The sequence below is a fragment of the Homo sapiens genome, chromosome 1 (assembly GCF_000001405.40).
Source record: "Homo sapiens chromosome 1, GRCh38.p14 Primary Assembly".
NCBI classification, from domain to species: Eukaryota; Metazoa; Chordata; class Mammalia; order Primates; family Hominidae; genus Homo; species Homo sapiens.
The window spans coordinates 67,009,651-67,027,662 of NC_000001.11; the positions used below are offsets into that span (position 1 = coordinate 67,009,651).

Sequence of the window (18,012 nt, forward strand, 5' to 3'; positions counted from 1 at the left end):
GAATGTCTATTATTAAAATGTCAAAAAGCAACAGATGTTGGCGAGGTTGAGAAAAAGGAATGCTTATTTATACACTGTTGGGGGGAATGTAAATTTAGTTCAGCCACTGTGGAAAGCAGTGTGGACATTTATCAAAGAACTTAAAACAGAACTACCATTTGACCCAGCAATCCCACTACTGGGTTATATCCCCAAAGGAAAATAAATTGTTCTACCAAAGAGACCCATGTATTCTTATGTTCACTGCAGCATGATTCCCAATAGCAAAGACATGCAATCAACCAAGATGCCCATTAACGATGGACTGGATTAAGAAAATGTGGTACATATACATCATGGAATACAATGCAGCCATAAAAAAGAAAGAAATCATGTCCTTTGCAGCAACACGGATGCAGCAGGAGGCCATTATCCTAAGCAAACTAACACAGGAACAGAAAACCAAACACCACCTGCTCTCACTTGAAAGTGGGAGCTAAACACCGAATATACATGGATACAAAGATGGGAGCAATAGACACTGAGGGCTGCTTGAGGTGGGAGGGTAAAAGGGGGATGTGAGTTGGAAGACTACCTGTTGAGTACTATGCTCACTACCTAGGTGACAGGATCGTTTGTACACCAGGCCTCAGTGACACACAATTTACCCACGTAACAAACCTGCACATGCACCCCCAGAACCTAAAATATCTTTGCATCTTCTTCTAAAATGGAAAAAAGGGAATGGTGGGGACTTTACCAATACAATGACTGTTTTTAGAGGAATCTTCCTTGGTCTCTTAAGAAAACACATGGGAAGTCATCTCAAGATATTATACCTAAAATCACTTCTGACACTCCCAGGTGCAAACATCTTCTGGCTCCCTTTTAATTATCCTAAGACCATAAAAACAAAAAATAAGTTTCTAAAATTTAAACTAGAGGCTGAATATCCTTTATCAGGTCCCAAATACTTGGGACCTGAAATATTTCAGATTTTGTAATATTTCCATTACACTTACCAGTTGAATATCTCAAATTAAAAAATCCAAATGCCTCAATGATTATTTCCCTTGAATATCATGTTGGCATTCAAAGAGTTTTAGATTTTGGAGCAAGCATTTTGGATTTCAGATTTGGGGTTGCAGGAAATCAAAAAATTTTACCCCCAAATATATTTCTTTAACATACAGTAATTAAGATAGCTGTCAGAAAGCCAGCAAAAAGAAGTAGCTCTGCAAAGCTGTCTTTTGTGAGGGAAATTTACATTTGTAGAAAAATCTACACTGACTGTAGCCAGGCCTCCCCTTGTCCAGATCTAGGAAACACTAACTGAGAGTCTAACACCTTTCAAGGTCTAAAAAAGCATTTATCATCTATTCTCTCCAAGGGCTGCTACCTGTGAGGTTTCATCTGTATAACAAGACCACTTTAGCTAGCCAAGCCTCCTCTTCTCTCCCTCCCATAACCTATTTTGCCCAATCTAAGCCCCCATTTTTTCTGTAACTTCAAGATAGTATATAAGCTTCTACACTCCACTGGGGGTTTAGGTAGTCACTCTGCAATATTCTCCATATACACATCAATAAATTAGATACCTTTTCTTTTACTAGTCTGTCTTTTGTGAGCTGATTTTTAAGCAAATTTTCCCTTCATCCCTACAGTTTTGATGCAGTAAGCAGGGTCACCAAAGCTGTTCTGCTCTTTTGGAAGCTGCAGCAAAGATAATCCAGGACCTCACCAGCCAGCATAAGGATAAAAATTTCTTACCAGCCAGGCTCCAGACCTCTTTCTCCCTGTGGAATCTGGTCAAGTGGATGGTAAAAAAACAATCAGTTCCTTTTTCCTCTCCAAAATCTTTTTCATTTTTTGCCACCAGGTCTCACTCTGTCTCTCAAGTTGGAGTGCAGTGGCACAATCTCAGCTCACTGCAATCCCTGCCTCCTAGGCTCAAGCAATCCTCCCACCTCAGCCTCCCAAGCAGCTGGGACCACAGGTGTGTGCCACCATGCCTGGCTAATTTTTTTTATTTTTGATAGCAATGAAGTTTCACCATGTTGCCCAGACTGGTCTTGAGCTCCTGAGCTCAGGCAATCCACCCACCTCAGCCTCCCGAAGTGTTGGGATTATAGGAGTTCAGCCACCACACCCACCCATACAGCCACAGAGCCCAAATCTTGATTAATGGGAGAAAAAGATTTGTGTGACAAGTCTTGGTTATAGCTTTTGGTTCTCTGTGGCATGAATATTCAAATTGTTTGATTCATTTCTTCCCCAAAATAGTCTTTTCCTTTATCTTTGTCTTTCTGTGTTGCTCTGTCATAAAAATTAGGGTACTGCTTGAGGTTCTCTTGTCATTTTGTGCCCTTGAAAGTTTGACTTCTGATCAAGTGGAAGCACTCTCTCTTGGTCTCTGCCATCTGGGGGCATGATTTTTGAGTCACGTCAGGTGGCCAGTCTAAAAATGGCTAGAAACCCAAGACTTTGTTCCAAATGTGTCAAGCTCTTAGGACAGTCTGTCATAAAGTCTCATCTACAAGGGCTTTTGTCATCTCAACCTTTGTTGCCTGGTTAGTACTAAAAAAGTCCAGTCCCATGAGGGCCTACCTATTCTCACAGATTAACAGGTCTGTGACTGGTGGTACCCCACATATCTGTGGGTTACTGAAGACCATCTATGATAATTAGAATCTTTCACTATCTGAGCTTATTCCTGGCAATACATTTTTTGGGCGGGGGCATGGGAACTTTGGGAAGGCTCTTCTATGCCCTCTCCAAGAACACATTTCTAAACCTAAAAAATTACATCCTAGGTTTTCCATAAAGAGACTATTAGATTGAGTCACTATTAAAATAAGTACACCATTAAAAATTCAACAGCCAAAAGATGGATCCTTTAAATTAGACTCCTAAATCAAAAAAAAAAAAAAAAAAAAAAATTTAAGAGATTTCTTATTCTAAACAATTGATGAGAAGGTCACATTTTTTTTTAGAAGACACACAATAGTGTCATGGTTAGTCTTACAAATTTTTCTCTTGACAAAATTAAAAGAGCAAAAATCTGACCTAAAACAAAGTTAAAATCCTTTGTAAGCTCACACTCCCTGCTTTAGATCCCCTGTGGGATTCACAATAAAGGCTGCTGTACCTTATGGCTGGTAATTCAAGTTGTACACTTTCACCACCATAGCCTGGGTTCAATTCCTGGTCAGAGAATCAGCCCCTTTTGGCTCAGTATTCATGTGACTTTGACTTTTTGGGGTACCCATTCACCTCTTTAGAGATGCCAGGTGCATCCTTAGTTAAGTCATAACTTTGGTTAAGTCTTACTGGTTTCACTTGTGAAGGTATCTTCAATAAAAAAAATTCAAAAGGCAAAAATATCATCTGTTTGTCCCCCCAGCTAAAATCTGACAATAGATTTTAAAAGATTTTTTAAAAAGAGCTCTGTGGTTAAAAGTCAGCTTAATTAAAAACTGATATTCAAATTATACATGCATATATAATTTAAGAACATATATCCTGGAGATATATATATATCCTGTTCTTAAATTTTTTTTCAGTAGACTAAAACTCTCTCAAAATTATGTTTTTAAAATTAGACTCTTAAATTTTACTTCCTTTCTTAGAAATTGGGCCAGGCACAGAGGCTCACACCTGTAATCCCAGCACTTTGGGAAGCAGAGGTGAGCAAATCACTTGAGCCCAGGAGTTCAAGACTAGCCTGGGCAACATGGCAAAACCCTGTTTCTATAAAAAATAAAATAAAATAAAAGTTGGCCAGTCATGGTCACAAGTGTCTGTAGTCCCAGTTACTCAGGAGGCTAAGATGGGGGGATAAATTGAGCCCGGGAGGTCAAGGCTGCAGTGAGCCATGATTGTGCCACTAAAGCCTGGGCAACAGAGTGAGACCCTGTCTCAAAAAATATATATTTTTCTCCCATTTACTCTTATTTCTTCCTACTCCTCCTTCCTCCTCTTTGCTGTCTTTGGTACAACATAAAAGAATCTAGAGGGCACTTCTAATGATTCAGATCCCTTAAGAAACACAAAAAAAGGTGCCATCTACCTCTTACTTGTACTGTAGGAGAAATGTGACTTGTGTGTGTGTGAGAGATGAGTGGTGAGTCATCACCACGGTAAGAGCTACAGTTTTAGAGGTGACTGGTAACAGCTGTTTATAGTAAACGATTATTACTACAAGAGACTACTTGTTTCTTTGTGAGTTTAGATTTAAAAGATGTAGTTTAAATACTTTTAAAAATGTCTGTATCAAAGTACACTATACAAGCATTGCATAACCTGGTTTCATAGCATTTTTCTTTCTGGGGATGTGGGATTCAATGTAAAAGCAAAATTCTACATTTGTAAAGCTCTATATGTTTTGCCTTTCAACGGTGCCTACTTTCCACATATTTTAATTATTAGGCCCTAAAAACTACAGATACTTTGTTGACCCTGTTGCTTAATGGGCTCTGCCTTGAGCTCAGTGATCCAGTTAAAAAACAGACTAAATTTTACAATGCCCCTCTAAATAAAATTAGTCCCCTTATAAAATCCTATAAGTTCCTATAAGTCTGTTACCTTGACATCCATTTTTAATCTTCCACTAACACATTCAAACTCCTTTTAAAAAATATAAATTCTCTCTCTGCACTTTAAAATATAATTTACTACCCTATTTTCTCTAAAACACAATAAGGGCTTGGGCCATGTGAGGCAGATAAACTTTAATCTTTTTCACTTATGAATACAAAGTTTAAATCCAACTGTTCTTTTAAACTAGTGAATTTTACTGGTCTTATGGCTAAAATTTAAAAACCAAAGCTATAAAGTCTTTATTTGTGTCCATCTATATTTTTATATATACATGTCTAAGTGTATATACTGTCTACATAATATCAAATTAACTTATAAGTTAGTACTCACAAATTAAATAGGCCCAAATAATTTTCAAGTTCACATGATTTTAGTAATCCTTAATAAATTAAAAGTTTAAAAATTATTAGTAAAATAAAATTAAAATGTCTTCAATTTTTAGTTTTTTTTTTTTTTTTTTTTTGGCCTGGTTGGATTGATCAGACAGGTTTATACTGTCTCTACTAAATGTTGTAAGGTCACAGAACTGTTACTTCTATAATATTTTTAATGCTTACTTAATTTATCTGTGAGCTTATGTCTGTAAATTTGAGACTTTAGATTCTAATGTCTAGACAAAAAAGGTCTGGGGACAACACCCAGGCCCTGTCCTCCCTAGCCCAACCATGTCTCTTGGCCATACTAAGGATTAACTCCTCCAGGCATTGTGTTCACAGCTCTATTCTTTGTCTTGCACTGCACATAGTTACAATTACTTATTTCCTAGGTTTTTCACTAAAAGTAAGAGTTACTAAGAGATACTATCATAATTAATATATATAATTAAAAGTACTAGATATTAAAATAAACAATTCCATACGCAAAGTATATTCCAAAAGGAAAATGTGTTTTTAGTAAAAAAGGTTATAAAACACATAAAAATGTGTTTTTGTAAAAAAAAAAAAAAAAAAAAAAGATTTTGCCTAGTATAAACGTTTAAAAAGTTTTTAATTAAAAAAACAAAAATAAAAAATTTTAAAAATGTTTAAATTTAAGAGGCTATTTAAAAACGTATAAAAATCTTGTGGTCAAACTAATTAAAATTAAATAGATTTATTTACAAGGCTTTATTAAAAATTAACTTTAATGTTAATAATACACTAATACAAAAATAAAATCGAATTTTCTCTGTTTTTTTTTGAGTCAGGATCTCACTCTGTTGCCCAGGCTGGAGTGCAGTGGCGTGATCTCAGCTCACTGCAACCTCTCCCTCCTGGGTTCAAGCAATTCTTCTGCCTCAGCCTCCCAAGCAGCTGGAACTACAGGTGCATGCCACCATGCTCAGCCAATTTTTGTATTTTTGGTAGAAACAGGTTTCACTGTGTTGGCCAGGTTGGTCTAAAACTCCTGGCCTCAAATGATCCCCCTGCCTTGGCCTCCCAAAGTGCTGGGATTACAGACGTGAGCCACCAAGCCCAGGCAGTTTTCTCTTTCAAACAAAATTTTTATGTACTATTGATAAAAAATAATTTTTAAAATTTTATTTACCTTCTAAATAAATTACAAAAAAGAGGGGGTAGAGGGAAAAACAGATTCAGTATGACTCATGGTATCTTTATTATGTCTTATAAGTCTCTACCAAGAGTAAAAGGTTTTGCTTTTTAAAATCTTTAAATTATCACGTTGACTAATGATATCTTTTAGTGGCCTGCAATCCTGTTTTAAACCTTTGTTATCTGACATATTTCCCCAAATCAAAATTTCAAATTCAGTTTTTTTGACCTCAAACTAACTTTTTAGATAATAGGGCCCCTAGAAGTCTAAGAGAAACATATTAGCCTTATTTAGTATGTTAAAATCAAATGGAAATCATTAAAAAAATGGTGCTTAACTTTCTCTGCATTATATTTATATAAATGTGTTATTAATATATGTTCTAAACCTGTATGAGATTCCTAAAGATTTGAAATGTCTTCAGATATATTATCAGTAATAATTATGATTATGTTAAATTGGTACATGTCAATGAAATAATCAAATTTCCTTGTCAATTGTTAACTATTCTAAGACTTTTGTTTTCCATTGACAATCATTGTTTTACTTTGATTCTTCTCGAAATGTAGTTTACAATCGGTAGAGTCCAAAATTTGCTTCTTCTTCGGAGAAATTAATAAAAAAAGACCCTGATAAGTAGTTGTAAATATAGGTTTCTGATAACTTTATTGATCCGACCATTAGACTAGGTAAAAACTTTCAGTATTCTAGTTAAAAAACTGATGTATTCATGAGGATTGCTAACCTAACATCCAACAGTATAAGAATTACAAGGAATTACATTAGTAAAAGACTAATTTTTATGACTTCAAAAAAAATGCTGTGTTTTCCAGTCAAAAAACTTTTTTTTCTTCTAAACTATTTATAATTTACAACAATTGGGTAAAATATACTTTGTGAACAAATTTAAAACATCTTTCTAACTAATTTCTCCAAATTTAAAAACTATTTATAAATATTCTTAACTTATCAGAATATAATTATTTAGATAAGTTCAATACACATCTGTTTTCTTTGTAATAGGACACAGAGACACTGGTTATTTTACCAATACTTTGACTAAAATAACATATTTGCAGATATGACCAGACTACTTGAAGAAATTAAAGTTGACTTTATAAAGCCAATAAAAAGACCCTTGTCTACACAGTTCCTTTATAAGTTTCCTGACCTGTGATTAAAAAATGTAACTTTCTGACAGACCAAGGGACCTCGAGTTATTTTATGATATCAAAAGGAGAAAGATTCACCCAATTTGTTACAGGTATTAGAGTCTGGTGGCAAATCCTTGGCTTAGCCTCCTGGCCTTGAGGCTTTTAAAAGTCTAATAATCTAAGATTCCTTATTAAAAAGTTCCAATAAAACTAATCTAAGAAGAGCCTATATGGCCAATCGCTATTCTTATTACACTTTATACAAATAAGCAGGCCAAGTACAATAAGACTAAAATTTATTTTACAAATAAATTAATCCTACTATGATTTATCTTTGGTAAAAATGGGAGACTAGAAGAAAAAAATCATGTTTCAAATAAAACTATAGCACATCTGTTTAAATTAGATTCTAGCCTCATTAATTGTTATTGTTGTTATTACTTCTCTAATATTTAGACTAAAACCTGAATTCTTTCCTGGCTACAAGTTTCCAAACTAACATTTTCAAATTTTTCTTCCATTTTTGACTTTAAGCCACTGAAAGTTGAAACTGTGCTTTTCTTAAAGCCCTACAAACTGAAACTAGACAACGTAAACTTCAGGAAAAATCAGAAGTTAAATACAAACAGCCTTCATGCCTACTGATGTATAGAATACTCAGAAAGTTCACTTCAATGCTGATTTGAACTATAATCCAGTAAAATCTGTCAGATTGCCACTGCAATCTGAAGATACCTCAAGGACTCTAAAAAACTCTATACACTACTCCAGACATTAACCTTGGTTTTTTCTTCTGTTTCCACAAAAACATCTCTTATTAAAGATCTGTTTCCCTTCATCATACACAGAGGCCTAGTGTACCTACAATGCCACCTTCTAAAATGGGACACAAATGTTTAATCCATTCTTAGGACTATGACTAAAAAAGATATGGGGCAATACATTTAAATTTACTCTTTTCTGCTTATCTAGATTTGTTTTTTCACTTCTTTGTCTATCTCTGATGACCTCTGGCCCAAATGGCTTTTAATATATAAAACTTTATGAAGTTTTAAAGTGAGGACTGAAGGAAATTAAAATATTTTACCCCAAAATATATTTATCTGACTTATTTCTCACAGGCCTCTAGATTAGGCCTATGAGACACAAAGTAAATTGATACATTGAAAAAGGCCAAAAAGAAACTTCAAAATTATTTTTCTAATAAAACGCCCTTTGAGAGAACCTTCAAAATTATGTCAGCCTCTTCTAGGCCTAAGGATGAAGACAGGAGGTTGCCTTAGAAAGGATTTTCCTATTATTTGAAGGGAAAAAATAAAATTAAGTATCATGTAACAACAAGGCTAGCAGGCAACTTAGGAAAGTGTATAACAGGACGTCATTTGAATACAGGGATCCAGGGAGGTGGATTAATTTATGTAAGTTGCCCAAGGAACTTCAGAAATGAAGGTGACAGAGAATCCAACCCATGCTGCTCAAAATCAGAAGTTGGAAAACCTGTAGGTATATATTAGGGTATCCTAAGCAAGGCTGGCTATCAAGAAAAGACACCAACGTCTTCAAAAAAGAAATTATCAAGAAGCACAGAAGAGTCATGATAGCTCAAAACTAAGACTGCAATTCTCAAACTTTAGTATACCCGACAATTGCCTGGAAACCCTGTTAAACATAAACATTTCTAAGCTTTACTCTAGAGATTCTGACTGAGTCTATCTGGGTAGGCCTTGGAATTTCTACTTTCAATGAGTTATCCTAAGTGATTTTCCCACCATGCTGAAGAGAAAAAGGAATGCTGACCGAAGGATTTGCAGGGGATTCTCAAGCACAGAAGGAAGCTTAAAGCCTCTTGTAGGAGGAATGGCTGAGCTAAATGGGTTATAACTGGGATGCTAATGACAGAAGCTGCACTGTATCCTGTGAGACTTCGACCCTGCAAGGGTATCAGCAGATTCCCATCTGTCTGCATGTGCAAGCCATCCTTCAACAGTGATACCCTGCACCAGTATGAAGCAAGAACAGTAGTGAACTAATCAGACAATTCAGTTTTTGCCTCCCTGTGGAGTTTGTAAGTAAAATTAATCACCCTGGAATGAGTAAATCCATGGAGTTCTTGGACTACTGTGAGGAGAAACATATATCAAAAGGAAAGTATAAACCTTATATAAGCAAGAATGACTTTATTTGTATCCCATGTTGATAATGATAAAGTACACTAAGAAATCCCAGGCAAATAGGTTTACTTATTAAAATTAAACATAGGCTTTCCGGCATCATCCGTCTCCTTAACTAAAAACATGGCCTATTTCTCACATTCTCGCTACTCTTATGCTGAAGACGAAAGCCATCCACTTTGCCCTTGAGGCATTCACTTTACAAAACCAAAACATACCTAGAGCTAATTTGGGGGAGGGGCCTAAAACTGTCTCAGCCAGCCCAATCCCTGGCATATAGATTGTCTCTAGCTTTCTAAAGGAATTCACACAAATTGACCTGTTACAGCTTAATTTGGAATTCTATTCACAGCAAACAGTTCAATTTCATGATTTGAAACCACAGACTTTCTGGATTTTAACCCAATCTAGTCTCTAAACTGAGATCAGGTGGGCACCACTCTATTGAGACTACAAAGATAAACAGCAGAGCAGTAAAAACTTGACCTCTGAAATCTCTTCCCTCACTACTGAGTAATGGGGCATCAGAAAGGAAGTCACAAGGGTAATGGCCCTCTTTTCCCCAAACGTTAAGGACCTACCTCTCTGGGTTTTGCCTTTTTAAGGAAGCAGGCCCACTTGGCTAATTCATTTGGAATTCAGACAAGCTGTGGCCTCTTGAATCATAAAGCACTAGAATCACAAAGTCAGATGAAAGAGGCCTCAGGCTTCAAGCCACCAACTTTAGCTCAATATTCAAGTCAACTTGGCTCTCCTGGCTGAAGACAAATTAGTCTGCCTCAAATAAAATGGATCAGGAGGAAATGAGATCATTGGAAATGTCAGACACAGCTTTCAAAAGTGAGCCATTTAAGGTTTGGCTCAGGCATAGGAAAACCCCCCCAATTAGCTTCTGGCCAGCATACTTTCCCTACAAAACAGCCAGACCTCAGTGAGGCAGAGAACACAGCAGTTCTCATTAGGGGTTAAAGGGACAGGCTTATCACTACCAAGCTATTAATCTGCCCTGTCAGAAATAGACCTAATTCTATTCCTTCCTCTATTCAGATAATACATTTTCCTTTTCCCATGCTCTTCAGAGCTAAGCTGCCTCCAAGTAGAGACTATGCCCTCCCTGCATTCTTAAAGAATATTTCAGAAACTATCACCACAATTTGTCAAACTAAGACAGTATGTGAGGAAATAACGATTTGGGTCTTAAGGCCATCAACAGACTCTTATCTTAAAGGAACAATTTTCAAATAATGCAGGTACCAAAAGCTAACAGTATTTTTCTACTTACCTTAATACAGCCAACTATTGTAGTTGTAAGAGCAGAATTATACTGCGTGCAGAGTACTGTGGCGTACATTAAGATAAACCTAGAATGAAGAAAGAGGTATAAAATCCAGTTTCTCACTTTATACTAATCTCTAGCCAAGATAAACAATCAGTGTTGGCCAAGCCAGCACATTCTAGTCACTGACCAGCTATGAATTTTCCCCACCTCACTGCTTCTTATACTGCAGCTTCAGAATTTTTAAAATTTCACTAAATAGAAACACATTCATCTCCTTACCAAGAGTTTTTCTTTGCTGCCCTCATCAAAACCCTGAACCATCTCTTACAATCATGACTATTTTTATAGATCATGCTTCCTACTAATACACCTAAGCCAGCCAGACAGAAAGCTCAGAGCTCACAGACCCTAAAATGCAGTTGTGCACCTTCCATAAGGACAACATGTCCTCTGGGCCAGACGAAGACAAGAGAGATCCTTAAATATTGAAGAAAACCAAATTAAAACTACTTTAAGAGGGGATACAGGTTCACTTAACAACTAAGTGGCAGCAGTTGGAACTCTCTGATTTACACTGAGGCTTCTCAGCTTAAGTACCAAGGCATCAGGTCAACTTTATTTTGAAGCACCTGCTCACTGTGTGCCAGATCCAGTCACAAATAGCAACTAAACTGACTGGCTGAGGAAAAAAAACACATTAGAGAAATATGGACATGAGGATAAGAGGCACGTTTGCAGGTATCCTCTTAACCTCTACATATTCTCTCCTATGAGGAAGAAAACATGGTAAAGAGGGGTCAAACTGCCCCAAATTCAAATGCTGCCACTGCCACCTACAAAGTGCGCAAATTTAGACAATTTACTAAAGTTCTATCTGTCAAATGGTCAGTATAGAGATAAAACTATATAATGCATGTTGAAATATAATGGTGCTTACTAAACAGCAGGTTATCAGGTAAATTTTTTCTTTTCTTCATCCTTCTAAGGTATCAATTCAGTAGCCCTAAGAGCACATTCCCAAGAGCTATGAAACCACCTGAATCTGGAGGCTTAATTATCCTAGGCTGACACACTCAGGAGACCTAAAGATATTGAGAAAAGAGGCATGCAAATTTCTCTAACCTATTTCTTTAGGAAAACTATCTGCTAACAAGGTAACAAAGGCTTACCCCATCACACAGGAGAGGGTGAACTGCAGAAGAAAGAGGGTGTCAGCCCAGCCTTCAAACTCCACAGCCTGCAACACACAAGAAAGCATTAAATTTTAGACCAGGCCTTCAAAATCAGCTATCCCGTTTTAATGTAAATCCTTCTACGAGTCTGCCTCCAACACAGACACAGACACAGACACAGACACAGACACACACACACACACACACACACACACACACACAGGTATATGTTTCCCTGAATTACTCCAAGGATAGAGAGTGATGTTCAAAGATTTCATGTATACAGAGTTGAACTAGTAAGTAGTTTCATAAGATTTTCTCCCATCCAAAATGTAACGTGGGGATTTTATACTTCTCACTATTGGTGCAAAGAAACTGGTATTTCCTTGAAGGCACAAGCCACATTTGGCTAATCTCAGTTCTTTCAGATGGCTATTAATGTGCTAGTACTAAAGGCTTTCTCAAACATTAAAACATGTTTCCTTTCTGTAACATGTGAAAGCTTAAATACAGCCTTAGTTATACAAATTCAGCTGAGGTCTATTCAAGGAGAATTACTGTTTTAAAACGGTTCATTCTAAAAACAAGGTATTTTGTGTTGTTGTTGTTGTCTGTGTTAAGCCAAAAGGAAAGGAATAAAGAGAAATGAAAGGGTACACTGATCATCTCATCTCTTGTCCAAGAGGAATGGATTCTCAAGTACCTAGTTGTTTTTGCAATAGGAGTTTGATAAGCAAATGTGACAAACATTCCACCTTTTTATCTCTGCTAACCTGTCCAGCTTCAACTTTTGCTACTTCCGCATAAATCTGATGGCACCAGGGCTCCAACAATACCAGGCTCCCTGTGGCTTATAAAACATACCATACACTTTCTTACTTGCATGCCTTTGCCTGGAATGTCCTTCCCCTCAACATTCGTCTGACTCCTGTTCAGCCATCAAATTAAAACTCAAGGCTCCCTTGTGGGGCCCTTCCTGATCAAGTACTCCTTCCTTTGTGCCTCAGTACTCCTCTCTAGAGCTCTTGTCTCTTCGAACTGTAAATCTTTCTATACCATGTCTACAGAATGAACTCCCTGAAGGGAGGACCCACATCACATTTATCTAATCATATTCCTAACAGTGCTTGACAGACAGTTTGTTTATAGTTCTTTGTTGAGGTAGAATACATGAAAAATAAATTAATTTTAAGTGTTCAATTCAATGAGTAGTCACAAATGTATAATCATGTAACCACCATTACAATCACGATAAAGAAATCAACTCCTTCCAAAGTTCCCTCCTCCCCATTGAGTCAATCTCCCCTCCATTTCTAGCCCCTGGCAACCTCTGATCTACTTTCTGTTACTATAACTTCGCTGTTCAACAATTTCCTACAAGTGGAATTGTATAGCATGTACTCTAGTGTCTTCCTTCTCTTTCACTTGGCATTATGCTCCTAGGACTCATCCATCCTATGTATGTATCAGTAATTCATTCATTTTTATTGCCAATTAGTATTCTATCTTATGGGTATACCACAATTTGTTTATCCAAACACCAGGTAATTGACACTTATTTGGGTTATTTCCACAAGTTATTATGAACCTTTGAACCTTCCGTTACAAGTCTCCCAACTGACATGTTTTTATTTATCTTGGGTAAATAGCTAGAAAATGGGATTGCTGGTTCATTTGGTTAGGTGTATCTTTAACTTCGTAAGAAACTGCCAAGCTGTTTTCCAAAGTAGCTACACAATTTTGTATTCTCACCAGCACTATATAAGAGCTCCCACTGATCTATATTCTCACCAACACTTGGAACTGTTACAGGCCATTCTAATAAGTGGTTAAGTGATATTTTCTCATTTTAATTTGCATTTCCCTAAAGACTATCAATATTGAGTATCTTTTAATCTTTGACATTAGCATTTCTTCTTTGGTGAAGTGTCTGTCTAAATCTTTTGCCATTTTTTTTTTTTTTTTTGAGACAGAGTCTCACCCTGTCGCGCAGGCTGGAGTGTAGTGGTGTGATCTCAGCTCACTACAACCTCTGCCTCCTGGGTTCAAGCGATTCTCCTTCCTCCGCCTCCCGGGTAGCTGGGATTACAGGCACATGCCACCACACCCGGCTAATTTTTGTATTTTTAGTAGAGACAGGGTTTCACCATGTTAGCCAGGCTGGTCACGAACTCCTGACTTCAAGTGATCCGCCCGCCCTAGCTTCCCAAAGTGCTGGGATTACAGAGGTACAAAAGAGGTGCCCGGCCTCTTTTGCCAAATTTTTATTCACATTATTTGTCTTATTACTGAGCTGCACGAGTTTTTAAAAATATATTCTAGATAAAAGTCCTTAATCACACATATGCTATACACACACATACATAAAATACAAATATTTTTTCCCAGTCTGTGACTCACCTTCCATTTTCTTTTTTTTTTTTTTAAGACAGAGTCTCACTATGTCGCCCAGGCTGGAGTGCAGTGGCACGAACTCGGCTCACTGCAACCTCCGTCTCCTGGGTTCAAGTGATTCTCCTGCCTCAGCCTTCCAACTAGCTGGGATTACAGGTGCATGCCACCACACCCAGCTAATTTTTGTATTTTTTAGTAGAGATGGGGTTTCGCCATGTTGGCCAGGCTGGTCCTGAACTCCAGACCTCAAGTGATCCGCCCGCCTCAGCCTCCCAAAGTGCTGGGATTACAGTCGTGAGCCACCATGCCCAGCCTCACCTTGCATTTTCTTAATAGTGTCTTTTGAAGAGCAAAAAATGTTAATGTTGATGTAGTCTAACATCAATATTGTCTTTTATAATTCTTGCTTATAACTTTTTAATGAAACCTGGGTGTAACCAAAAGTCAAAGATCTTCTCCTATCTTTTCTTCTAGTTTTATGGTTTTAGCTTTTACAGTTAGGTCTATGAACCTTTTAACATTAGTTTGCTAGAGCTGCCATAACAAAGCACCACAAAACTGAGTAGCTTAAATGGCAGAAATTTGTTGTCTCACAGTTCTGGAGGGTAGAACTCCAAGATGAAAGTGTCTACAGGATTGGCTCCTTCTAAGAACTGAGACACAATCTTTTTCTTGCCTCTCCCCTAGCTTCTAGTGGTTTGTTGGCAATCTTTGGTATTTTTTTAGCTTGTAGAGGTATCACCCTGATGTCTAACTTCATGTTCACATGGTGTTCTCCCTGTGTGCATACCTGTGTCCTAATTTCCCACCCCGCCCCCCAACCTTTTTTTTAAGCAAGGTCTTGCTTTGTCAACCAGTCTGGAGTACAGTGGCGTGATCATGGGTCACAGCATCCTTGAACTCCGAAACTTAAATAATCCTTCCACCTCAGCCTCCTGAACAGCTAAGACTATAGGTGTGCACCACCATATCTGGCTAATATTTTTTAAGTTCTTTTGTAGAGACAGGGTCTTGCTTTGTTGCCCAGGTTGGTCTCAAACTTCTGGCCTCAAGTGATCCTTCCACCACGGCCTCCCAAAGCACTAGGATTATAGGTGTGAGCCACCCTGCTGGCCCTTGATTTCCCTTCTTAGTAAGAACACCAGTCATATTGAATTAGTGACCCACCCTACTCCCGTATGACCTGATCCTAACTAATTACACCTCAATCATCACATTTCAAAATAAGATTTATTGTGAGGTACTAAGGATTAGGACTTCAATATATGAATCTGGAAGGGGAGGGACACAATTTAACCTATAACACTTTCCTGATTAATGTTTGTATATTCCACAAGGTCACAGTCAAGGTTCACTATTTTGCATACAGATGTCAAATTGTTCTACCAACATTTGCTGAAGACATTATCTTTTCCTCATTGATCTATTTTCACACCTTTGACAAAAATGATTGCCCACATGGTATATTTCTATTTCTAGATTCTCTGTTCTGTTTCACTGGTCTGTCTACTCTTAATCCAATATCACAGTGTCTTGATTACTGAAGCTTTATAAGAAGTGTTGAAATCAAGTAGGGTAAATCCTCTAAAGCTGTTATTTTTGAAAACTGATTTGACTATACTAAGTCCTTTGCAATTCCACATAAATTTAAAAATCTGCTTGTCAATATCTACAAAAATCTTCCCATAGAGTTGGGGTGGTGTTGAATCTATAGATGAATTTGCTAAGAACTGACAAATTATATCAAACCATCTAATTAATAAACATAAAAATCACTTATTTAGGTCTTTTAAAATTTATCTCACTAGTGTTTTGTAGTTTTCAGCATACAGGTAACATATTTTGTTAAATTTATCCCCCAAGTACTTTATAATCTGAAGCTATTATAAGTGGTATTTTTTACTTAGCTTCCAAGTGTTCACTGCTGTTTTGTGGAGCTACAGTTAATTTTTGCATATTGACCTTGTACTGTACAAACTTGCTAATTAGTTCCAATCACTTTTTTCTAGATTCTTTAAGATTTTCTACATATATCATCATGTTTTTAATACACACAGTTTTGCTTCTTCCTTTCAAATCTATATTATACAGATGGAGTTCTTCAACATAACACTGAATAGAACACTATATGAGTACAGACATCCTCGCCTTGTTCTCAAATCTTAGTGAAAAAGTATTCAGTCTTTCTTTCACCATTAAATATGTCAGCAATAGATTCTTTGGTAGATGTCCTTTCTTATGCTGAGAAAGTTCCCTTCTATTCCTAGTTTATTGAGAATTTTACACTCATGAGTGGGTGTCACCTTTTGTCAAATAGGTTTTCTGCATCTATTTAGGATAGTTCTACTATATTCTTGTTAATATGGTAAACTGCACTGATCGATTTTCAAATGTTAAATTAACCTTAATTCCTGAGATAAACACAATATGGTCATGATATACTGCCCTTTTAATATATTGCTGGATTTTTTTGTACTGTACTTTCTCCCCCCTTGTAATGTTTTTGTCAGATTTTGGCAGAAGGTAATCCTAGCCATATAAAATCAACAAGGAAGTGTTCTATCTTCTATTTTCTGGAAGAATTTATGTAGAATTATTATTTCTTCCTTAAATTTTTTGTCAAATTCTCCAGTGAAGCAATCAGGGCCTGAAATTTTATTTTGAGGAAAGTTTTTAACTACAAATTCAATTTCTTTAACATAAATAGGGCTATAATAGCCCTATTATTAATTAAGGCTTATGATTAATTTCAATTAAACAGACCTATTTAATTACTGTATTAGTCTCTTCTCATGCTGCTATAAAGGAATACCTGAGACTGGGTAATTTATAAAAGAAAGAGGTTTAATTGACTCACAGCTCCGCATGGCTGGGGAGGCCTCAGGAAACTTACAATCATGGCAGAAGGCACCTCTTCACAGGGTGGCAAGAATGAGTGCCCAGCAAAGGGGGAAGACCCTTATAAAATCATCAGATCTCGTAAGAACTCACTATCACAAGAACAAGATGAGGAAACTGCCCCCCATGATTCAATTATCTCCACCTGGTCCCTCCCACGACACATGGGGAATATGGGAACTACAATTCAAGATGAGATTTGGGTGGGGACACAGCAAAACCATATCAATTACTTAACAGAGTAGAGTTATTCATACATTACCTATTTCTTCTTGAGTGAGCTTTGGTACATAGTTTGTCTTTTCCAAGAATCTATTTTGTCTCAGTTGTCAAGTTTATTGGCATAATATTGTTCATAATATTCTCTTACTATTCTTTTAAAATATACCTGCTCTGTAATGAGGTCCTTCTTTAATTTCTGATATTGATAATTTATGTAAACTCACTTTTTGGCCTGATTAATTGGCTATGAATTAGCAATTTTATTAATCTTTTTTAAAAAAAATCTTAGCTTTTAGTTTCATTGGTTTTCATTGCATTGATTTCTATTCTTATCTTACAATCTTACATTTCTTATGTTTATTTTGGATTTAATTTTCTAGTTTCCTTTTTTTATTCTTCCTTCTTAAAAGACAGGTCTCACTATATTGCCCAGGCTGGCCGTGAACTCCTGACCTCAAGTAATCTTCCTACCTCAGGCTCCCAAAGCATTGGAATTACAGGCATGAGCCACCTCATCCCAGCTACTTTCTTAAGACAGAGGCTTAGATCACTCATTTTAGATCTTTCTTCTTTTCTAAAATAAGCATTTAGGGATTTAATTTATATAATTA

The 18,012-nt window shown here is 36.7% G+C and overlaps 1 protein-coding gene across 9 annotated transcripts in view, besides 2 other annotated features; it reads right to left on the reverse strand.

Moving 5' to 3' along the window:
- SLC35D1 (solute carrier family 35 member D1) overlaps positions 1-18,012 on the reverse strand; it is an 81,173-nt gene that overhangs the window by 36,675 nt on the left and 26,486 nt on the right. For 7 of the 9 annotated variants that reach the window (XM_047415662.1, XM_047415665.1, NM_015139.3 and 4 more), the window contains 2 exons: positions 11,885-11,952; positions 10,719-10,797 (listed from right to left, as the gene is read on the reverse strand). In XM_047415662.1, the coding sequence (XP_047271618.1) occupies positions 10,719-10,797; positions 11,885-11,952 (147 nt within the window). Of the gene's footprint in view, positions 1-818; positions 1,785-10,718; positions 10,798-11,884; positions 11,953-18,012 lie in introns of those variants that run through there. The other 2 variants (XM_047415668.1, XM_047415672.1) reach the window with 2 other exon arrangements.
- Positions 4,033-4,082: a silencer, noted in NCBI's record as "silent region_976". NCBI's record gives its function as "represses an Ori minimal core promoter by ATAC-STARR-seq in GM12878 lymphoblastoid cells {active_cell/tissue: GM12878}" and the evidence as "EXISTENCE:reporter gene assay evidence [ECO:0000049][PMID:35858748]".
- Positions 10,894-11,692: an enhancer, noted in NCBI's record as "H3K27ac hESC enhancer chr1:67486227-67487025 (GRCh37/hg19 assembly coordinates)". NCBI's record gives its function as "activates a minimal SCP1, AML or CMV promoter by ChIP-STARR-seq in primed H9 embryonic stem cells {active_cell/tissue: H9 hESC(primed)}" and the evidence as "EXISTENCE:reporter gene assay evidence [ECO:0000049][PMID:30033119]".